General features: G+C 47.3%; 1 protein-coding gene and 1 long non-coding RNA gene across 17 annotated transcripts in view, besides 1 other annotated feature; one reads left to right on the plus strand and one right to left on the minus strand.

The window, feature by feature from the left end:
• Positions 1 to 23,013, plus strand: part of KIF9-AS1 (KIF9 antisense RNA 1) — a 79,747-nt gene extending 56,734 nt beyond the window's left edge. Inside the window, exons 3-7 of the long non-coding RNA NR_033373.1 lie at positions 10,664 to 10,760; positions 14,954 to 15,056; positions 17,301 to 17,466; positions 18,512 to 19,091; positions 21,876 to 23,013. This is a non-coding gene — a long non-coding RNA (KIF9 antisense RNA 1). The remainder of the gene's footprint in view (positions 1 to 10,663; positions 10,761 to 14,953; positions 15,057 to 17,300; positions 17,467 to 18,511; positions 19,092 to 21,875) is intronic.
• Positions 6,848 to 7,107: an enhancer, noted in NCBI's record as "active region_19810". NCBI's record gives its function as "activates an Ori minimal core promoter by ATAC-STARR-seq in GM12878 lymphoblastoid cells {active_cell/tissue: GM12878}" and the evidence as "EXISTENCE:reporter gene assay evidence [ECO:0000049][PMID:35858748]".
• KIF9 (kinesin family member 9) overlaps positions 6,895 to 23,834 on the minus strand; it is a 54,802-nt gene continuing 37,862 nt past the window's right edge. For 10 of the 16 annotated variants that reach the window (XM_006713291.4, NM_001413976.1, NM_001377474.1 and 7 more), the window contains 7 exons: positions 23,688 to 23,821; positions 21,948 to 22,142; positions 19,698 to 19,912; positions 15,340 to 15,516; positions 14,931 to 15,046; positions 14,410 to 14,514; positions 6,895 to 7,599 (listed from right to left, as the gene is read on the minus strand). In XM_006713291.4, the coding sequence (XP_006713354.1) occupies positions 7,549 to 7,599; positions 14,410 to 14,514; positions 14,931 to 15,046; positions 15,340 to 15,516; positions 19,698 to 19,912; positions 21,948 to 22,142; positions 23,688 to 23,821 (993 nt within the window). In that variant the 3' untranslated portion in view covers positions 6,895 to 7,548. Of the gene's footprint in view, positions 7,600 to 14,409; positions 14,515 to 14,930; positions 15,047 to 15,322; positions 15,517 to 19,697; positions 19,913 to 21,947; positions 22,143 to 23,687; positions 23,822 to 23,834 lie in introns of those variants that run through there. The other 6 variants (XM_047448712.1, XM_005265389.5, NM_001377475.1 and 3 more) reach the window with 3 other exon arrangements.

The raw sequence follows: 23,834 nt of genomic DNA on the forward strand, positions 1-23,834 counted from the left end.
TTTTAAGAGACGGGGAGTCTCACTAGGTTGACCAGGCTGGTCTTGAACTTCTGGCCTCAAGTGACCCTCCTGGCCTCAGCCTCCCAAAGTGTCGGGATGATAGGCATGAGCTACCGCACCCAGCCTGTCTCTCAATATTGACTGCAAATCAGAATCACCTGTGGAGCATGTACAACATAGCTACCACCCAGATATCACCTTGGACTATTCAGAGCTTTATAATAAGAAACTATGGAAGTTTATGAATTGAAAGGTTATAAGTAGAGAAGCTTCTGTGCTTGTTTTTAAGAGAGTACGTGTTATGAAATAGTTGCCAATTGGCCGGGTGTGGTGGCTCATGCCTGTAATCCCAGCACTTTGAGAGGCTGAGGCGGGCGGATCACCTTAGGTCGGGAGTTTGAGACCAGCCTGACCAACATGGAGAAACCCCATCTCTACTGAAAACACAAAATTAGCCAGGCGTGGTGGCACATGCCTGTAATCCCAGCTACTCAGGAGGCTGAGGCAGGAGAATCGCTTGAACCTGGGAGGCAGAGGTTGCAGCAAGTCGAGATCATGCCATTGCACTCTAGCCTGGGCAACAAAAGAGAAACTCCATCTCAAAAAAAAAAAAAAAAAAAAGAAAAGAAAAGAGAAGAAAAGAAATAGTTGCTAATTAAGGTTAACGGCTCATCAACATATTAATCAGGTAAACAGTGCATGCCAAAGGTGAAGAACAAATATATATACAAGTTTCCTTCTATGGGGCAGGGGCCAAGGGTGTTTTCAACTCAGTGTGCACATTAGAGTCACTTGGGGAGCTTTTAAAACATACTGAGGCTCAGGTCCCAGAGGCTCTGATTTAATTTATCTAACATGTGGCCTAGGCATCAGGATTTTATAAAAGCACTCCAGTTGATCATAATATGCAGCCAGGGTTAAGAACAGCTGTCTCAGAGCTCAAAAATGCACCTCCCTTTTTCTTTGTTGTGTGTGTGTACATAACACGTTTTCTTTTTCACTTTATTCAGAGCCCAGTCTTTTTTTTTTTTTTTTTTTTTTTTAGAGTCTTTCTTTGTTGCTCAGGCTGGAGTGCAGTGGTACAATCTTGGCTCGCTGCAACTCCACTTCCCAGGTTCAAGCGATTCTCCTGCCTCAGCCTTCGGAGTAGCTGGGATTAGAGGCATCTACCACCATGCCTGGCTGGTGTTGAACTCCTTACCTCAAGTGATCTGCCCACCTTGGCCTCACAAAGTCCTGGGATTACAGGCATGAGCCACCGTGCCTGGCCCAGAGTCCAATCTTAAAATAAGGTTTGGCATAAGAATTTGCCCTTAGATTATTGGTTTGCCCTTTTTTTTTTTTAATTTTTTGAGACAGGGTCTCACTGTTTCACCCAGCTGTAACACCCAGCTAATTTTTTAAAATTTTTAGTAGAGATGGGGTTTTACCATGTTGGCCAGGCTGGTCTCGAACTCCTGGCGTCAAGTGATCCGCCTGCCTCGGCCTCCCAAAGTGCTGGGATTACAGGTGTGAGCCACCGTGCCCGGCCAGAGATTGGTCTTAAAATGCCATGACAGTCAGCATTAATTGGAGAGAGATAATATTGGCCCAAATGCTGCCTCTTCAAATCCAAAATCCATTTTGGGGAGTGGAGAGGGAGACTAACATTGGTTGTATGTGTGCATGCATGTATATGTATGTGCGTGTGTGTGTGTACAAGCTAATCACCTATCAAACATAATGCTGGGTACATTCGCATCTTTATTTTCATAGTTATTGTTACTGTCATGGCTGTTTCAATTGGTTGAGGACCTGCTGTGCACTTCACATCATTCCACAAAGCCCTACAGTGATCATGGTTCTATACACAAGGAAAGGAAGGCAGAGAAATTAGACAACTTACTCAATGTCAAATGTCAGTAAGATACAGAATCCCAATCTAAACTCAGGTGTCTCTGGCCCAAAGCCTGTGATCTGTCCCTATTTTGTATTGCTTCATAAAAGTGCAATCCACTGACCAACAATCAAGCCCAGACCGATACTCCCTGGGCCCAACTAGTGCGGACCAGGTGGATTGGAACTTCCCTGCAGTGCCAGAGGAAATAGCAATAGAGGTATCTGAGCTCTTTGGATTAAAGATAATGGAACATAGGAGGGACTCTCCAGAGCTTTTTGTCCTACCTTGAATCTCAGACCTCTAGAAAGAAACTTTGGGTGCTATACTGATTCAATTGTATCCTTTTCATTACACTTTTATAATATATATTATTAAAAATATAGGCCAGGTGCAGTGGCTCATGCCTATAATCCCAGCACTTTGGGAGGCCAAGGCAGGAGGATCACTTGAGCCCAGGAGTTCAAGACCAACCTGGGCAATATAGTGAGAACTTGTCTCTATAGAAAGTTAAAAAAAAAAAAATTAGCCAGGATTTTTAGTGGGATGATTGCTTGAGCCCATTAAAAAAAAATTAAAGCTGTTAAAATAATGTTATATATATCATACATATATTCTTTTTTATGCTTCTTTTTTGTTTTCTTATTTTTACTTTTCTCCTCAAATTCCATTTACATATATATATATAGACAGGGTCTCACTCTGTTGTCAGGTTGGAGTGCCACCATGCCCAGCTAATTTTTTATTTTATTTTTATAGACATGGGATTTTGCCATGTTGCCCAGGCTGGTCTCGAACTTCTGGGCTCAAGCAATCCTCCTACCTCAGCCACTCAAAGTGCCAGTATTACAGTCATGAGTCACTGTGCCTAGCCTAAGTATTTTAAGATGTTATCATTTCATTGACAAGCCCACAAACAATATATCAACTATTTTTTTCTTTGGCTCCATTCGTGTATGTGTGAATTTGTGTGTTTATGCTGGGAAGTCCTGGGAAAGTTCCATTTAGTGGAAAACATGCCCAGAGGAGTTGTTCTACCCAAAGGGGAGAAAGTTGAGATAATAATCCACTGATTTATTGGTTGAGGGTTGCTCCTAAAGGTGTCGTTAACTCCCTGGCATTTGGAACTACCCTGAAGCAGATGAACACCTATGTAGACAAAGCCTTTATGTGGAAAGTTGCAGATGCTTTCACTAGGAAGCCATTAGCAGGAATGGCAAGTGCAAGGGACTGTGTCAAGGCATGACAGCATCTGCTACAGAATGTGACATTTAAAGCCGGGTGTGGTGGCTCATGCCTATAATCCCAGCATTTTGGGAGGCTGATGCAGGCAGACCACTCGAGGTCAGGAGTTTGAGACCAGCCTGGCCAACATGGTGAAAAACCCCGTCTCTACTAAAAAAAAAAAAAAAAAAAAATACAAAAAAAAAATTAGCTGGGCGTGGTGGTGCGCGCCTGTAATCCCAGCTACTTGGAGGCTGAGGTGTGAGAATTGCTTGAACTCAGGAGGCAGAGGTTGCAGTGAACAGAGATCGCACCACTGCACTCCAGCCTGTCAAGAGAGTGAAACTCTGTCTCAAAAAAGGGCCGGGCGTGGTGATTCACGCCTGTAATCCCAGCACTTTGGGAGGCCGAGGCAGGCGGATCACGAGGTCAGGTGATTGAGACCAGCCTGGCCAAGAGACCAGCCTGGCCAATATAGTGAAACCCCATCTCTACTACAAATACAAAAGTTTGCTGGGTGTGGTGGCACGTGCCTGTAATCCCAGCTACTTGGAAGGCTGAGGCAGGAGAATCGCTTGAAGCTGGGAGGCGGAGGTTGCAGTGAGCCAAGATTGTACCATTGCACTCCAGCCTGGGAGACACAGCGAGACTCCGACTCAAAAAAAAAAAAGAAAAGAAAAAAGTGACATTTAAGCAAGGACTTAGGAAAGTGAATCATGTGGACATGTAGGGAAAGAATGTTTTAGGCAGAGGAAACAGCCATTGCAAAGGCCTGGAAGCAGGAGCTGTCTGTCTGGCATGTTGGGAGGAAAAGTAAGGAAGCCCATGTGGCTGGAGTAGAGTGAGCAAGGGGACAGTAGATGAGACAAGAGTAGAGAAATCATAGAAGTCACGATTATATAGGATCTTGTGGGATGTTTTAAGGACTTGGGTTTCACTCTGAGCAAAATAGGAAACCATTAAAAATTTGAGAAGAGGTGTAATGTGATCTAACATATTTCAGAAGGTCAACCAGGGCTAGACCTGGTGGCTTGTAATCCTACCTACTCTGGAGGCTGACATGGGAGGATTGTTTTAACCCAGGAGTTCGAGGATGCAGTGAGCTAGGATCATGCCACTGCTCTCCAGCATGAGGAAAAAAAAAAAAAAAAAGGTTCAGCCAGGCTGCTGTTCTGGAAATAGAGAGCAAAAGGAGAAGCCAGGAGACAGGAAGCTGTTGCAATATCCAGGCAAGAAGTGGTGAGAAATGGTCAGATTTTGAATATAGGAGGAAGGTAAAGCCTACTGAATTTCTGGATAGATTCAGTGTGAGGTCTGAGAGAAGAGAGGAATGAAGTACAAAACTAAGGATTTTAGCCTGAGCAATTAGGCTAAGGAAGGTTATGGGTAAAGTATGTTTAGGGAGACAATTAGACATTCGGTTTTCTAGCTCACCTCTTCACCAGTGATGAAGCCTTCAGGGTGCCATCTTTATTCAGGCAGTCCCATTTCCAGCTTCCTATATGGCATGAACTGACGTCTTATTTCTCATACTTATGTGGACATTTAACCTTCAAAAGTAACAATCCGCTCACATACCTTCTCCTAGTCCCTAGAAGACATAGCCAGTTCACACGCTGACCACTCAGGTTTTCAGTTCCTCCTTTATGTTCAGCTCCTGACAGTTCCCTTTCTTGCTTGCAAATCTTACTTTGTACAGTCGTCCCTTGGTATACATGTGGGATTGGCTCCAGGGCCCCTTCCATATGCCAAAATCCACACATAAGTCCTGCACTCAGTCCTGCGGAACCTGCACATACAAAAAGTTGACTCTCCACATATGCAGATTTTGCATCCCTTGAATACTGTATTTTCAATCCACCTTTGGTTGAAAAAATCCCATGTATAAGTAGACTTGTGCATTTCAAACCCGTGTTGTTCAAGGGTCAACTGTATTTCTTTTCTCTTTTTCTTTTTTTTTGAGACAGAATCTCTGTTCCCCAGGCTGGAGTGCGGCAGCATGATCTCAGCTCACTGCAGCCTTCGCCTCCCAGGTTCAAGCAATTCTTGTGTCTCAGCCTCCCAAGTAGCTGGGATTACAGGTGTGCACCACCACACCCGGCTAATTTTTGTATTTTTAGTAGAGACAGGTTTTTGCCATGTTTGCCAGGCTGGTCTCAAACTCCTGGCCTCAAGTGATCTACCTGCCTCAGCCTCCCAAAGTGCTGGGATTACAGGCATGAACCACCACATGTGGCCTCAAGGGTCAACTGTATTTAAAAGAATGTTATATTTTAGTCAGCACCTCTATTTGTAGCAGGAATGTTTTCAGATTATCTCACCTGTCACATTGTTGCAACTGGAAGTCCCTCCAGGGGTGACTTGGCTGGCAAATTAACTCAGCAGGAACTATTTTCTGGAATGACAGACCCATCTGAATGAACACAACACCCCTACCTTCCTGCCATACTGGAAGCATCGACTCCTGGAAGCATCAGTCAGGGGAAGAGAAAGGAGCTGGAGGAGGGAGAGGGCAGAGCCCCCAAGGCAATCCTATCACTTTCTTCAACAAAATCCATGTCCATCTGCTGATGGGCTGAAGAGCAGAATCACAGGGTTTTTGATTGGATAGATACTATCCAGTTCAACCTTCAACCAGGTGCAACCTCCTTGCCAGACAGCCTACTGCTGCAGGGCCCTCACTAATGACTTCATGCCAGGACTGCTCTCATTTTAAGCCTCTTCTTATTTTGAGATAACAATCTTAGCCAGGAGAGGTGGCTCACACCTGTAATCCCTTGGCACTTTGGGAGGCTGAGGTGGGAGGATCGTTTGAGCCCAGAAGTTTCAAGACCATTCTGGACAACATAGTGAGACTCCATCTCCAGAAAAAATTTAAAAAACTAGCCAGGCATGGTGGTGCGCACCTGTAGTCCCAGCTACTCAGGAGGCTGGGGTGGGAGGATTGAGCCCAGGAGGTTGAGGCTGCAAGGAGCTGTGATGGCACCACTGCACTCCAGCCTGGATGACAGAGTGACACCCTGTCTCAAAAACAACAACAATAACAACAAAACCTTTGGGAAAAATGTTTGCTACTCATTCAGCCCACATCCACATCCTCTTGCTTTCCCTTCTACCTGGCAGCCCCTCATGGCCTCTGTCACATTTCTCTTCCTCTTCAGGTAAGCAGACCTAGTTCCTTCCATCTTTCCTCATACAAAGTGGTCCCAGAGCTAGATATCACCCATCAGAAGTGATGTATTTTTCTCTCACAGCTTCCCATGACAGGACTGCCAGGTGAGCAGAACCTCCTCTCCCACTGTTGGAAGAATAACAGAAACCTCAAGGCCCTGATGAGGGTGTCAGACGGGGGAGCACCCACAGAGTGTCAGGCCAAGGCCTTGACCCATAAGAACAGAAGAGGGGGTGAGATACAATTCCAAGGAAGCACTGAAACTTTTCGCTCAGTGGAGACTTGGTTTACCAACCCAGGGGCGTATCAGTCAGCCTGGAAGGCCCCAGAGGGCCTGAGTTTGTTCTCTGAGCAAAGTAATGAACTCTTTCCCTTTGGTGCCACCACCAAGGGCCCAAGCTGCAGCCTGGTAACTTGATAGAGAGTGATATCTTCTCTCTTCCCTGCTCAGCCTTGACAGTGATCCCAGTTCCTATTCAGGGTAAATCGTTCACTTTCACTTCTGCTCAGTGCAGCCTACACGGAGAGAGAAAGCGGGGAGGGGAGGCACCCTGGTGCCTGGTGGCCGTGCATGCTGCGTAGGGAAGGCCGTGGTGTTCTGGAAACATGCAGAGGACATGTCTCCCAGAAGCTGCTCATTTATTCCCTGGTACATGGAGCCAGCTCTGCCTCATCCCTTTCTGGTCTCTGTGGCTAGACCTTATCCTCCCCTGGTTGCCAAATGAAGGAGGGCCTCCTCCTGTCTTCTTCACTGGCTCAGAAACACAGAAAAGATGTCTTGAGAGAACTTAGGGTCTGAGGGAGCTGTGAGAAGCAGAGCTCCTCAGACCGAGCTCACCACCCCCACCCTAGGATGTCTATCCAGGAAAGGGGCTGACCAGTGTGACAAAGGCCTGCCAGGAGGAGCCTGGCTGAGCTACTTTTCTGCCTTCCTACTTGAGACTCAGTTCTGACCTCACACATACATAGAGAATATGTCCTTTCAGACAGGAAATAAGACAAAGTTCTCAGATGAGCACTGAAAGTCCAAACTAGAAAGTTATTTTATCCTGTCCCTGCATATAAGACAGTGAATTAAAACCCAAAGTGCTCTGTGGAGATGAGCAAGGTTGTCCTTGGAGGATGCTCCTCCCAACATGCAGGCCAAATGTGTTCTCTGTGCTGGGTCCCAGCATTGGAGTAGAGGGGGCTGCAGCTCTGGGCAGGTGGTTGAGCAGCTCCACTACAGTAGGTGGGAGTTGCTGGTCTTGTCCTTTAAGGTACTGGCGATGAGGTTCTATTTTCTATGTGCCTGCTGGAGGCCCATCATGGTTTTCAAGTAATTATGCTGGACACAGAGGGAAGAGAAAACAGGAACTTATTAGGAGGGACAGACATAGCAGGGACTCAGACCAGGCCACTCACATTCACCCTATCATTCCTCCTGCAAACATCATGGGTTGTGGACAAGGATTCCTTCTGAGTAGCCCCAATTCTCTGAGAAATAACATCCATTCAAACTCTTTCATTCTTTTATCCTAAAGAAAGTGTGTAAAACTATTTTAAAACAGTCTGGCAGGCATATTTGAAAGGAGGCATATAGGTTTCAAGGGCATTCTTGGGAGTTTCTGATAGGGAATAGGTTCAGAAAGAAAAGAAGAGGGTTCTATCTCCAGAGGAGTTAGGGGCCAGGTATTCAGAAGGGCCCTCTCTTTGCCACTGCAATCAATCAGATGTTCACAAATTATACCTTTTTAATGCATCACTAGGCTCTTAGAAAGCAGGTGAAAACTGTAGGCTGAAACAGAAACAGTGGGCTGTAAGCCAGCAAACGCTAAAACTAGCTTGGAACATGGAATCTTAGGTTCCCCACAAAGTAGGAGTCTGAATTGAAGCTCCCATATTAAACTGGAATTCTTGAAGAGGGTTAAAATGGTCCTGGGTTGGTAATGCCCCATGGGTAACTGCAGAAAGCAAGTGCAAACCTTTTCAGGGGGAAAATAATTTCTATTTATGTGTTCAGGTCTCCTTGAGCTTAAGTTCAATCAAACACAAGGTCACGATTTCAATACACACACAAACACACACACATACACACGCCACTGTCAAGCCACCATGAGACTCAGTAAAACAGGAAACAGATTTTGACCATGAAAAATCTGATCTATATGTTTCCTATATAAAAGTATATATTTAAATAACTAAAACATAGAATTGAAAGAACATGGAATGGTTCGAGTATAACATTTGCATAAAAAGTCTGTGCATGGGCATATCTTAAACATTAAAAATGGCCAACACAGAGAATTATAGAGATTGGGGAATGAGAGAATAGAATTTTGACCTGTAGAAATACAGGACTCCTCTGCTTAATGATTTAGAATTTTTTTTTTTTTTGAGATGGAGTCTCGCTCTGTCACCCAGGCCGGAGTACAGTGGCGCAATCTCGGCTCACTACAACCTCTGCCTCCCGGGTTCAAGCGATTCTCCTGCCTCAGCCTCCTGAGTAGCTGTGATTACACGTGTGCACCACCATCCCCGGCTAGTTTTTGTGTTTTTAGTAAAGACAGGGTTTTACCATGTTAGCCAGGCTGGTCCTGAACTCCTCACCTTAAGTGATCCACCCACCTCAGTCTCCCAAAGTGCTGGGATTACAGGCGTGAGCCACCGTGACTGGCGAGTTGCACATTTTAAATGGGTGAATTGTATGGTATGCAAATTCTGTCTCAATAAAGCCTTTTAAAAAGCATAAAATAAGAATTTATTTAAAATAACTATCTGGGCACAGGGGCTCACGCCCATGATCCCAGCACTTTGGGAAGCTGAGGTGAGATGATTGCTTGAGCCCAGGATATCAAGACTGCAGTGAGCTATGATCGTGTCACTGCACTCCCTCCAGCTTGGGTGACAGAGCAAGACCTTGTCAAAAAAAAAAAAAAAAGGCTGGGTGCAGTGGCTCATGCCTGTAATCCCAGCACTTTGGAAGGCCCAGGCAGGAGGATCCCTTGAGTCTAGGAACTGAAGACCAGCCTGAGCAACATAGGGAGACCCAGTCTCTATTTTTAAAAAATTGTTTTTAATTAAAAAGAAAAAGAATGCCAGGCACGATGGCTCATGCCTGTAATCCCAGCACTTTGGGAGGTCGAGGCGGGTGGATCACCCGAGGTCGGGAGTTCGAGACCAGCCTGACCAACAGGAAAAATCCCATCTCTACTAAAAATACAAAATTAGCCGGTAGTGGTGGCGCATGCCTATAATCCCAGCTACTCAGGAGGCCGAGGAAGGAGAATCGCTTAAACCTGGGAGGCAGAGGTTGCAGTGAGCCAAGATCACACCATTGCACTCCAGCCTAGGTGACAGAGGAAGACTCCATCTTGTGGGGGAAAAAAAAAGAAGTTACCCAGGCTGGGCACAGTGGCTCATGCCTCTAATCCCAGCACTTTGGGAAGCCAAGGCGGGTGGATCACGAGGTCAGGAGTTCAAGACCAGGCTGGCCAACACGGTGAAACCCTGTCTGTATTAAAAATACAAAAATTAGCCAGGCATGGTGGCGCATGCCTATAATCCCAGCTACTTGGGAGGCTGAGGCAGGAGAATCACTTACAACCCAGGGGGCAGAGGCTGCCGTAAGCCGAGATTGCGCCACTTCACTCCAGCCAGGGTGAAAGAGCAAAACTCCGTCTAAAAAAAAAAGTTACCTAAATTACAGCATAGAGAAATGAGGAGCTGGAAGAAACATAAGATATTTTAAGAGATACAGAGGACAGAATGAAATAAAATACATCTAATCAGAGTCCTGGGAATGAGAATAGAAAGAAAAGGGAGGCAGTATGCAAAAAGATAACGGTTCCAATATTCCCTTCATGATTGAGAAAAAAAATACACACTCAATGAATAGGAACAGAAAAGAACGTCTTCAACCTAATAAAGAGCAGGTTCTAAGGTAAAGCCTCTAAGTGTGCTACCCCAAGTGTGGTCCTGGACTAGCAGCATGGACATCATCTGGGAGTTTATTCAAAATATAGAATCTCAGGCTCCATCAGTATCTACTTTTTTTTTTTTTTTTTTTTTTTTTTTAGACAGTTTCTCTTCGTTGCCCAGGCTGGAGTGCAGTGGTGCAAGCTTGGCTCACTGCAACCTCCACCTCCCTGGTTTAAGCAATTCTCACACCTCAGCCTCCCAAGTAGCTGGGATTACAGGCGTGCACAGGCATGCACCACCATGGCTGGCTAATTTTTGTATTTTTAGTAGAGATGGGGTTTCACCACAATGGCCAGGCTGGTCTCGAACTCCTGGCCTCAAGTGATCTGCCCGCCTCAGCCTCCCAAAGTACTGGGATTATAGGCACGAGCTATTGTTACCGGCCATCTGCATTCTAAAAAGACCCCTGGTGATTTGTGTGCACAGCACAGGATGGGACGTGCTGCTCTATGGGACCTTCAGAATCCATGTAAGAGACCCCTATGCTTAAGCCTCTCTGGATGGGCTTCAGCTCCTCACAGCCATCAGGTAAGTGAAGATGTCAGCTTAATCCTAAACGTAAAGAGTGAATTCAACTAGGGGAAATGATGACACAAAATCCAGAAACTAAGAAAAAGAATACCGATAAACTTGTGCTATGGTCTGAATATCAGTGTCTCCCCAAAATTCATATGTTGAAAGCTAACCCCCATGGTGATGCTATGAAGAGGTGAGGCCTTTGAGAGGTGACAGGTCTTGAAGGCTTTACCCTCAGGGATGGGATTAGTGCCCTATAAAAGGGGCCTGAGGGAGCTCGTTAGTTTATTGCACTTCTGCTGTGTGAGGACACAACTAGAAGGCACCACCTCTGAAGCGGAGGGCAAACCCTTACTAGCCCATATCTGCTGATGCCTTGATGTTATACTTGCCAGCTTCCAGAACTGTGAGCAATACATTTCTGCTGTTTTTTTTGTTTTGTTTTGTTTTTTTTACGGAGTCTCACTCTGTCACCCAGGCTGGAGTGCAGTGGTGCGATCTCAGCTCACCGCAACCTCCACCTCCCGGGTTCAAGCAATTCTCCTGCCTCAGCCTCCCGAGTAGCTGGAACTACAGGCATGCGTCACCACACCCGGCTAATTTTTGTATTTTTAGTAGAGACGAGGTTTCACCATGTTGGCCAGGCTGGTCTCGAACTCCCGACCTTAGGTGATCCACTCATCTCAGCCTCCCAAAGTGCTGGGATTACAGGTGTGAGCCACCGCGCCCAGCCCATTTCTACTGTTTATAAATTCCCCAGTCTAAGGTATTTTGTTGCAGCAGCCTAAATGGACTAAGCTTGATTTCTTAAAAATAACAAAATACCTACAAAAAACTATAAGGAAAGTCGGCCGGGCATGCTGGCTCACACCTATAATCCCAGCACTTTGGGAGGCCGAGGCGGGTGGATCAAGAGGTCAGGAGATCGAGACCATCCTAGCTAACACGGTGAAACCCCGTCTCTACTAAAAATACAAAAAATTAGCTGGGCGTGGTGGCGGGCACCTGTAGTCCCAGCTACTCAGGAGGCTGAGGCAGGAGAATGGCGTGAACCCGGGAGGCGGAGTTGCAGTGAGCCGAGATCACGCCACTGCATTCCAGGTTGGGCGACAGAGCGAGACTCCATCTCAAAAAAAAAAAAAAAACAAAAACCATAAGGAAAGTCAAAAGACAAATGACAAACAGGAAGAAATAGTTGTAAATCATATCACAAAGAGCTAATTTCTTGGTCAGGTGCAGTGGCTCATATCTGTAATCCCAGCACTTTGGGAGGCCAAGGTGGGTGGATCACCTGAGGTCAGGAGTTTGAGACCAGCCTGGCCAATATGGTGAAACCCTGTCTTTACTTAAAATACAAAAAAATTAGCTGAGTGTGGTTGCGGGTGCCTGTAGTCCCAGTTATTCAAGAGGCTGAGGCAGGAGAATAGTTTGAGCCCAGAGGCAGAAGTTGCAGTGAGCCAAGACTGTGCCACTGCATTCCAGCCTGGGCGACAGAGTGAGACTCTGTCTCAAAAAAAAAAAAAAAAAAAAAAAAAGTTCCTAAAAATTAATAAGAAAAAACCGGCCAGGTACAATGGCTCATGCCTGTAATCCCAGCACTTTGGGAGGCCAGGGCAGGCGGATCACTTGAGCCTAGGTGTTTGAGACCAGCCTGGGCAACAAGGCAAAACCCCATCTCTACCAAAAAAAAAAAAAATTAGCTGGGCATGTGGTGTATGCCTATAGTCCCAGCTACTCGGGAGGCTGAGGTGGGAGGATCGCTTCAATCTGTGAGGTCGAGGCTGTAATGAGCCATGATCATGCCACTGCACTCTAGCCTGGGCAACAGAGCACAACACCGTCTCAAAAGAAAAGAAAAGAAAAAAAAAAGACACAGAAGCACCAATAGGTTGACACAGCATGATCTTCAGGATGTGTTGCTAAGTAGAAAAAGCAAGGTGCAGAAAACTGAGGGGAAGCCAGGCACGGTGGCTCACGCCTGTAATCCCAGCACTTTGGGAGGCCAAGGCGGGTCGATCACCTGAGGTCAGGAGTTCGAGACCAGCCTGGCCAACATGGTGAAACCCCATCTCTACTAAAAATACAAAAAATTAGCCGGGCATGGTAGCATGCCCCCAGCTACTCAGGAGGCTGAGGCAGGAGAATCACTTGAACCTGGGAGGTGGAGGTTGCAGTGAGGTGAGGACACGCCATTGCACTCCAGCCTGGGCAATAAGAGTGAAATTCCATCCCACCCCCCCCAAAAAAAAGAAAGAGAGAAAACTGAGGGGAACACTAGAAACAAGTGATGGGGTGTCCTGTCAGAAGGGGTTTCCAGGATCTGAAACAAGTGACAGGGGTGCCCTATCAGAAGCTGATAGAGGGGGACAGCATTTGTACTTTCTTTTTTTTTTTTTTGGAGACGGAGTCTCTCATTCTGTCGCCGAGGCTGGAGTGTAGTGGTACAATCTCAGCTCACTGGGACCTCCGCCTCCCAGATTCCAGCAATTGTCCTGCCTCAGCCTCCCGAGTGGCTGGGACTACAGGAGCATGCTGCCACACCCAGCTAAGTTTTTGTATTTTAGTAGAGACAGGGTTTCACCATGTTGCCCAGGCTGGTCTCAAACTCCTGAGCTCAGGCAATCCACCTGCCTCAGCCTCCCAAAGTGCTGGGATTACAGGCGTGAGCCACCGTGCCCAGCCAGAGCCACTGTGCCCAGCATTTTTTTTTTCTTTTTTTTTGAGATAGAGTTTCGCTTTATTGCACAGGCTGGAGTAAAGTGGTGTGATCTTGGCTCACTGCAACCTCTACCTCCCAGGTTCAAGCGATTCTCCTGCCTCAGCCTCTTGAGTAGCTGGAATTACAGACATGTGCCACCACGCCTGGCTAATTTTTTGTATTTTTAGTAGAGACAGGGTTTCATCATGTTGCCCAGGCTGGTCTTGAACTCCTGACCTCAAGTGATCCACCCACCTCAGCCGCCCAAAGTGCTGGGATTACAGGCGTGAGCCACCGTGCCCAGCCATATACTTTCATGCTTTCTTAATGTTTGAAACACCTGAATGTATCACCTAATGAGTATGTTAATAAATAACTACAAAAATATTTGCGAAAGAATGAACTCACTTGGGCTTCTGCCCCGTGTGCATCTGCCACTTGCTGTATAAGCACTGCCTCTGTGCAAAGAGGAGTGTGCAGTGCACAGGGCCCTCTGTGTTCTGGCTCCAGACAAGGCCTTAGTAGAATGGAGACCCTCTGCACCAGCCTAACCTGCTCGAGGAGGAGAGTACCCCACCCACTCTATAGCTAACGCCATGTCTAGCTATGCCTCAGCTGCATGTGATCCTCTGTCCCCTGCCACCTGTGCAGAGTGGACCCCGTTGGAGAGGTCCTCCCTGACAGGTGGAAGCCTCAGGGGATCCCTGGGCCTTGTTCTGCGAACCATACATAGGCTAGTCAGTACTCACCAGCCATGTCCTGGCCTGGCCGTGGTTGGTGGGACTCCTCTAGGGTCCAGCCCAATTGCAGTCTAGTTGGCAGAAGACACCCACTGACTGAGGGTGACTAATCTCCTTGGAATGGTGCCATTCCTCCCCTACCTCTCTAAAGTAGGGAATATGATCCTGGGTTTCCTAGTCACTGAGGCCCCCATCCTCCTGGAGACATAGGCCTCTGAGTTACCTTCTGCTCTATCTTGACTTTGGCATTGTAGAAGGAGATGGAATCAGGGCCCTCAGGAAGCACCCTCTGCTGCAGCTGGCTGAATTTGTCCTGGTCATCTTCTCCCTGGGGGAGGACAGTCCCTTTAGCATGGTATTGTCAGGATATACCCTAGCAGAGCCTGTGGTGTGCATCAGGGCAGTCCCTTGCTGGGTTTGTGCCACACACCGCCCCACCGCCACCAAAAGGGCATCTCACAGCCCTCCAGCCCCCATGTCTGTCAGTGTTCCCACAGACAACCTGTAACTGCTGCCTGAGCAGGATGAACTGCTTTAGAAAGGTGGCAGTAGTAAGAGTGGTATTTTCCCCCATTCCTTGATAACCGAGGAGAGACCTGTACCTGCCCACCTGCCTGGGCTGGCTGTGGAGAGGCTGGGAGCACCACACACACTGCCATCTTTGTGTTGAGAACAGACATCAAGGGGCACTGCCCATTGCCCCATGTTCAACCACTGCCACACCCCTGCCCCTGTGCCGCTCACCAGAGACACAATCCTGTTCACAGGGACCATGCCTGGCCGGATGCTGCCGCCTGGCTTCAGTGCCATCTGCATGTCCTCAGGGATGACAAAGGACTCATTGTACCAGATGTCAAATTCTACAAGGAGGTGAGGAGACAGAACTTGAGGAAGCCGGTAAGGGCTGTGTGCTGTCATCTGTCTTATATCTGTTGCAGGCTCACCATCTGTTCACTTCCTGCTCCAAGGTCTTACCCTGTCCCCATCTCCATCTCTGGCCCTCACAGTCCTGGGAACCACACATCTCAAGCCCCTGCCCAGCCCCTGGCTCTGCCAGAGAGAAACTCTGAGGGTGCTTCCAGAACTCAGGCTGTGGCCTCTCCCTGAGTCTCCTTGTACCTCAGGTGGCGGCCAACCTTCCCAACTGTCGCACCCATGAGCAGGCGGTGGCGACACTGATCCACTAGGTGCTGGCAATACTGGATCTCAGCCCTGAGGTCACGCAGGTCCTGGTACTCGCTGCGGTACTGCTTCTTGAGGTCTTTGAGCTTGAGGATCAGCAGGAATTCTTCCTCATCGATGATCATCAGCCCCTTGTTTTCGTACTTGCCTGCAAGGTGATGGAAGAAGTCAGGAAATGAGGAGGTGTCCACCTGAAATTGGGGGAGGAAGGGATTCCAGAAGGTGGGCACAGAGCTGGCAAATCATGAAGACAGGAGACCACAGGCAGGGCTGGCCCATGGCAAGGAGATGGGCAAAGCACAAGAAGGCCAGGCTGCCAGGGCATAATCTCACAGGGAGGGGAGCTCAGCTCAGTGGGGCCACACTGGCATTTTAGGGCAAACAAGAGCAGAGGGCAGGGGAAGGTACAGAAGGCCCATGCTCCATGCTTATTTTATTTAAAACTCTAGTAGCCAAAGATATTTAGTAAGCACCCCTAGTATACAAATGTCTATTTTTCTTGTAAATTACATCTACAAACTGCCATCACTGGCTAGTACTACAAGGCACTTGGGCAAGGCTCCTTATTAATAACAGCAGATGTTCAAATTGTCTCTTGCTGATACACACATCCACCAGCTACTTTCTTTTTTTTTCTTTTTGAGATGGAGTCTCGCCTTGTTGCCCAGGCTAGAGTGCAGTGGCACAATCTCGGCTCACTGCAACTCTGCCTCCCGAGTTCAAGCGATTCTCCTCCCTTAGCCTCCTGAATAACTGGGATTACAGGCATGTGCTACCACGCCCAGCTAATTTTTGTATTTGTAGTAGAGACAGGGTTTCACCATGTTGCCCAGGCTGGTCTTGAATTCCTGACCTCAGGTGATCCGCCCGCCTCGGCCTCCCAAAGTGGTGGGATTACAGGCGTGAGCCACCATGCGCAGCTCACCAGCTACCTTCTTGTTAGAGATGATTAGACATCTATATCGTGTTGAGTAGCTATCAAAGGGCTCCAGGGACAAGGGTCAGTGCTATTAGTCTCTTTGCATGGATCTTTTAAGGTCTGTCAGTTCAGTGACAGTTGTTGGGTTAAGACAAAATAATTTGGTGTGCAAAGCCATTCACCCTGCTCTCCACTGCTCACAGCACCTGAAAGCTTAGCAAAGGCATCACATCAACCGCCATCCCCAAGTGTAGGGTAAGTGTGTTCTGCATGTGACCTGAGGTGTGTGGCTGGGGTGCATGAGGCAGCCCCCAGGTGCTAGAGGAAAGTGTTAGCACTTCCACTGATGTTTATTGAGAAAAAAGTGAGACACATTAAAAGCCACTAATGGAGTCATTAATGGAAAAGCAAATGTCTAGACTCTGGGATCTGGGATCTGGAGTGGGGAGTGGGAGTCACCCTCACCAGGTGTCTCACCTTCAATGCAGAGCAATCTGCTGTGGTCTCTATGCTGTGGGAGGTCCCTGATGTGATTATTTGGATAAGCCACAATCCTTTACAGAGTAGAGGCTTTACAGTACTCTATGAAGATGGGGAGTAACTGTGAACATCTTTTGTTCTACCCAGAGGATCTCTGATTATCTCCAGGAAGAAAAAGAGTTGAATTTAAAGATGATTTTACATTTTTACATTTTTCTTTTTTTCTTTTGTTTCTTTTTCTTTTTCTTGAATTACTGGCCTCAAGTTCTTTTACAAGAGACTAATGTTCCAAATATGTTGACCTTCCTGGGTCAACAAGTGGCTGTCAATAATAAGGTATCTAAGAGATTGATTGATTGATTGATTTGACAGGGCCTCACTATGTCGCCAAGGCTAAAGTGCTGTAACATGATCATGGCTCACTGCAACCTCAACCTTCTGGGCTCAGGTGATCCTTTCACCATACCTCCCAAGTAACTGAGACTATAGCCATGTGCCACCACGCCCAGCTAATTTTTTATGTTTTTTTGTAGAGACGGGGTCTCACTGTATTGCCCAGGCTGGTCTCGAACTCCTGTACTCAAGCAATCCACCCGCCTCAGCCTCCCAAAGTGCTGAGATTACAGGCGTGAGCCACTTCGCCTGGCCTAGGAGATATGAGTTTACTTGATCTGTTCAAGTAAATTCAATAAAATAAAGGTATTTTATTAATATTTTAATAATCAGTGGAAAAACAACTACTTTGGGGGGACAGCACAAAAATGGGGTTTTTTTTTTAATACTGATAAATTTTTTTTGTTTGTTTTTTGAGACGGAGTCTCGTTCTGTCTCCCAGGCTGGAGTGCAGTGGCGCAATCTCGACTCACTGCAAGCTCTGCCTCCCGGGTTTTACACCATTCTCCTGCCTCAGCCTCCCCAGCAGCTGGGACTACAGGCGTGCATCACCTACGCCCGGATAATTTTTTTGTATTTTTAGTAGAGACAGGGTTTCACCGTGTTAGCCAGGATGGCCTTGATCTCCTGACCTCGTGATCTGCCCGCCTCGGCCTCCCAAAGTGCTGGGATTATAGGCGTGAGCCACCGCGCCCAGCCGAAAATCGGGCAGATCACCTGAGGTCGGGAGTTCAAGACCAGCCTGACCAACATGGAGAAACCCCATCTCTACTAAAAACACAAAATTACCTGGGCATGGTGGCGGGTATGCCTGTAATCGCAGCTACTTGGGAGGCTGAGGCAGCAGAATCACTTGAACCCAGGAGGCGGAGATTGCAGTGAGCCGGGATCATGCCATTGCACTCCAGCCTGGGCAACAAGAGTGAAACTCCATCTCGAAAAAGAAAAAAAAATTTAATGTCTTCCTCATCTCATCCTTTGAAACTGTCCACTTTCAGGTGTATTTAGGAGTAAATGATATGCCAGCATACCATGCGTATATTTTATCTTAAATATGTAATAAGGGGCTGTATGTTCAAAGAAAGTGTGAGCAGAGAGGACAAAGAAGTGCTTGTTTGTCCCATAAAATCTTCACCATGTCCTCTCCCTGTGGCTCTGGATAGGGGTATGTCTATAGCCACCATCACTGGCCTTCTCCAGCTTCCCAGACCCGTGGAGGGCTTTGCCCTCAGGAATAGCATGTCATAATTGGTCTGTGAGGTATGATAAGAATGGCCCCAAGAATTAGAAAATAAAGTTGCCCTCTGAGAAATAATTGTTTAATTGTTATTATATTTTTTTTCCAAGACAGTCTTCATCTGTCACCCAGACTGGAGTGCAGTGGCGCAATCTTGCCTCACTACAACCTCTGCCTCCTGGGCTCAAGCGATTTTCATGCCTCAGCCTCCCAAGATGCTAGGATTACAAGTGTGTGCCACCACGCCCTGCTCCTCTGAGAAATAAATGAGTAAAATGCACCCCCTGTGAGTGAGATGATGCATCTGACTTGCAGGAATAAACCAAGTGACATCTGGAGATCACTCATGGAAGCTGGCCTGGAACAGGGTTGTGATTTAGCGAGGGAAAGCCCAGTAACCTGTGGTGTTTCCTGTCTGGAAGAAGACAGTAAGACTGAGCCAGGAGTGTGAAGAACAGTGTGGCCTCTGAACCACCTGTCCCAGAGTTGGAATGGTCACTCACTAAAATGCAGGTCCTGGGCCCTGCTCCATCTCTCCCAAGTCAGAACCACTGGCTGAGGGGCTGGGAATCTGCACTTGACCAGCCCTCTCAGATAAGTCATCTGAACACGCAAGCTTGGTGGGCCTTGGCCCTCAGTGCAGGTGTGGGCGGCGCACGCCACCAGGACAAGGACACTGGGTCAGAGTAACCAGGTGAGCACCCTCCCCACGTTGGGGTTCTTTGCTCTTTGAGCCTGGAGCACCCCCTGCCACCAGCTCTAGGAGATAAGACTCTGACAGACCAGCACGGGTGTCAGGGATTCAGCATAGGGAATGGCCTTACTGAAAGTGAGTCCCTTGGCTCTCTGGCATCCACATTCTTGTTCCCTTACTTGGTTTTTCATAGTCCCTACCAGCAGCCCCACCTCAATCTGACCACCTGGGGCAGTGAGGAAACCACACAGAGACCCACGGACCTTGTAGAGGTCACCAGCTACCCATCTCCCAGTGATACCTCTGCAGGACAAAGGGCCTGTTTCACCAGGGACAGTAGCACATATGGGGTGGAAGGCCCAGCACCTAGGTCTGAGATAATGCAACAATGAGGGACCCACAGGCAGAGGCTGGCTGACAGGGAGGACTCTGCGGCTCTCAGGGGCTGACCAGAGCTAAGTGATCTGACCTATGGGTGAAGGCCACATCCCAGCACCCCCACTGGCCCCCTCCCATCTCAGACCTCTAGTGCCAAGGGCTGTTCTGCTTCAACCAGCATGACTCTGAGACCCCAAAGCTCCCTAGCCCTCTTTCCAACACATTTACCTTGCTTCTCCCGTAGTGACTTCTGGAAATTCAGGGCCTCCTTGGTCACATCAATCTCCCGCTTGATGGCATTGATGTGCTGTGTGGTCTCGCTGGCCCTTTTCCTCCGTTCATTCAAGATGGATTTGTTTTCTTTGAAAATTCGGTTGATCTCACTACCTTGCTCATTCTTAAACTCCTCAAAGGCCACTGGTTTGGAGGGTGGGGTGTCGGGCCTTGAGATGAAAAGGTGAGACCAAAGAGGATAAATGAGGTGGCTGCCTTGGAGCCACCAGGCACTTCATCTTTCTTCCCTGGGACTTCTGTGGCCAGGAGGCAGAAGTGCTAGGCACCACCTACCCAAGACAGGAGCTAAACTGTGTGTGAATCATTCCCTCCTCTTTGTTTTACTCAGCACACATACAAGGACATATGCCCATGGCAGAAAGTGAGGAAAGCAAGGAAAAGTATAAGAAACAAACAACAATAAGAAAAGAAAAGAACAATGGCATATGGTGGTGTATTTCCTTCTGTATTTCTTTCTTTTTTTTTTTTTCTCGAGACAGAGTTTTGCTCTTGTCACCCAGGCTGGAGTGAAATGGCACAATCTCGGCTCACTGCAACCCCCACCTCCTAGGTTCAAGCGATTCTCCTGCCTCAGCCTCCTCAGTAGCTGGGATTACAGGCATGCGCCACCACACCTGGCTAATTTTTTTATTTTTAGTAGAGACCAGGTTTCTCCATGTTGGTCAGGCTGGTCTCGAACTCCCGACCTCAGGTAATCCACCCGCCTCAGCCTCCCAAAGTGCTGGGATTACAGGCATGAGCCACTGTGCCTGGCCCTGGATTTCATATATGTGTGTGTGTGTGTATATATATATGTGTGTGTGTGTATATACATATATGCATATATACATATATGCATACACACACACATATAAAACATTTTATATATGTGTGTGTATATATACGTATATATACATATATACGTATATATACATGTATATACGTGTATATATGTATATATGTATATATGTATATATATACACACACACATATATAAAATATATATATATATATATACACATATATATATATATATATATTTTTTTTTTTTTTTCTTTGGAGACAGCATGCTCTGTTGCCCAGGATGGAGTTCAGTGACTCGATCACAGCTCACTGTAGCCTCGAGCTCCTGGGCTCAATCAATTCTCATGCCTCAGCCTCCTGAGTAGCTCGGACTACAGGCATGTACTCCCATGCTCAGCTCCCTTTTAATTTTTTATAGAGACAGAGTCCCACTATGTTGCCCAGGCTCTCCAACTCCTGGGTTTAAGCAATCCTTTCGCCTTGGCCAACCAATGTGCTGGGATTACAAGCATAAGCCACCGTGCCTGGCCTTTTTGATATATTTTTGAATGGCTAAGGCCATGCAGTATGTTTAATTTTACATCTTACTTTTTTCAAAAAAGCATTTCATGTTATTAAAAACCCTTTGAGAACTCTGGTTAATGAGTGTAAGATGAAGTGTTGGGGTAAGGGGAATTGGATTGATGTGGGCAACTTTGAAATGCATCAAAAAAAGAACATGGAGGGATAGAAGGATAGAGGCAGAATGAAACAAGAATAGTAACATATAAATTGTAGAATTGGGAGGATGGTTGGTGTACAGGTGTTCGCTGTACAATTATTTCAACTTCTCTGAATGTTTAGAAATGTTCATAGGTTGAAATTCTTCACGGACAACCCAATGGCAGAGAACAATTCACTTAGTGCCCTTTCCCTAGTGTTGGCTACTGAAGGTTTTCAAAAATGTATATATTTTGCTTTTTAAATAAATGATGAAATAAACATCTTTTGCATAAATCTTGTTTCACATCTATTTCCTTAGGATAGATCCTTAAAAACTCATGAGGGAGAGGGGCTGAGTGATTTGAGGAAAGGGAAGAGGTTATATTCTTTCATACTTTAAAATTTTTAAATCTTTTGAATGCAGTACTTGTACAAAAGATACATAACTTTAATTATTTAAATAATTGCTATTTGGAGGGTCTAAAATGATTCCATGTTTAATTGTGCATCTTGGATGACTCCTGAGGTTGGATCATTTTGCAGATGCATAAGTCATGTTTCTTCTTTGGGGACTGTGCTCCTAGTCTTTGCCTATTATTTCTTATTTTATTTCTCTTTTATCTGCAGGTACTCTTCACATGTTGAGGATCACATATGGTTTTGTTTGATCTGGTGCAGAAGCTAACATTAGCTGATTACCTAATTGGGCGTAATTCCTCCTTCGGGGAGTCTGAGGGAAGGGGCTCAATGCTGGAAGTTTCCCGGTCCCGCGAAAGCATGTCTTTGACATCCCCATCTTTGGAGGATGGGACCAGCTGGGTCTTGGAGGTGGAAACGTAATCCAAGTCCTTCCCATTCACAGGGCTGCTGGCACCTTCCTTTCTTGCCAAGGAGCTGGAAGAAGGCACGGAAGCCCCAGGGTTCAGTCATGGACAGTGAGTTATCAGATGCCAGGATGAGTGACCTTTCTCAGCACTGACTACACTGGGAACCCCACCTCATTCAGCTCCCATCTTGTTCATATGCCTAGGTAAAAGCGCAAATAGTGTGATGCTAAGCCAGGCAGATGTGGAGGAAGAAGAGGGCATTTTTCTCCCTTTTATCAGAACAAAGAGCCCTCGGTGGTCTTGGCAGGAGACGCTTGGGAAAAATGGGTACAATCTCCAGGGATTGAAAGTGTATGGACCTGTAGGATGGGCCACAGGTTCTCAGGAACCACCACGGCTGCTGAGGTCTGAGTCATACAGGCTTCCCCGGGAAGGACTGGCAGAGCCCCACACAGGGTGGTTCTGTCTGTGGATCAATGGTAAAGCAGGATGGCTCTGCCCTGCTGTTCTTACTGGTCCACACCCTGTTCTCCACACCAGCTCCCAGAAAAGTAGCTGTCCTCCCTGCTGAAGTGACAGTGCTTGGTGCCTTTCTCCGAGAAGAGGCAGATCTGAGGACCGAACTGGCAGGAGGATGCCCATGGCTCTTCCCAAAGGTCTGAGGATAGAAAATCTGTTTCTTCCTCTTTCCTCCTCCTTGCAACGAGTATGGCTCAGGGAACTGAGCCTCAACCCATTGAATACTGCACTGATTATCCGGAAGCAGAACAGAGAGGGTTGGGGTGTGACTGCACTCATGAAGAGGCAGGAGGAAGCCAGGGACACTGGCATCCTCTGCTGCCTGACTCTTGTCCTGCGTGTAACAGTTTTCTACAATCAGCTCTGGCCTGTGGCCTGTGCTCACACACTCTTGCTCACAACAACCTCAATGACTTGGATGCTATTATTATTATTCCCATTTTGGAGATGCAGAAACAGGCACAGAGCGGTTCTCATGTCTCACATGGGGTGACCCCTTGGGTGTGAGAAGTGCAGAGCAGGGAAGGGAGCCCAGGCGTCAGCTCCAGAGCCTGTGCTCTTACCCACCACTACACAGCACCCTGGGAGGGCTCACTAAGTGAACCTAAATGCTCTTCCCACCTTGCACATACAAACGAGTCTTGCCTGAAAGGTGAACTGGAGTTTTAGGTGACCTGAGTGCCAGTCGGCGGGAAGACCCTAGTGAAGTGAGGGGAGGGGGTACAACATAAAGTACCAGAGGGCATGGGCTCTGGAGAGCTGGTCCAGCTTCTTGCTGCCATTCCACTACTCATTGGTGGTATGGCCTTGGTGAGTGACTTCCCCTCTCTAAGCCTCTGTTTCTTCATCAGTGTAATGAAGACATTAACTCCCACCTCACCAGGTTGCTGTGAGGACGAGAGATGATTCTTGTGCGGTTCCAAACCAGCCCCAGCCCGGGCCCCACAGACTTGCTAGTATTGGCAGCAGTGACGTCCATTGTGCCAACCCAGTAGCTGAGACACCAGGGGGAAAGTGGGAACAGTGCACATCCTCCCATGCACCCACCGAGGAGGGCCAGCTGCTGAGGAGGCAGAGCGGCAAGGTCACTCACCTGAGTGGCTCTTTGAATGTCTTCTTGGACTTGGCTTTCTTCCCAGGTTTGGTAGAGAAAGGGGCGACTCCGAGTCCAAAGTTTTGTCCTTCAGGCTCACCCACTAGGTGGCCATCAACATCCACAAGCCCCGCCTACATAGAGAGG

Source organism: Homo sapiens, chromosome 3, assembly GCF_000001405.40.
Source record: "Homo sapiens chromosome 3, GRCh38.p14 Primary Assembly".
In the NCBI taxonomy this organism is placed as follows: domain Eukaryota; kingdom Metazoa; phylum Chordata; class Mammalia; order Primates; family Hominidae; genus Homo; species Homo sapiens.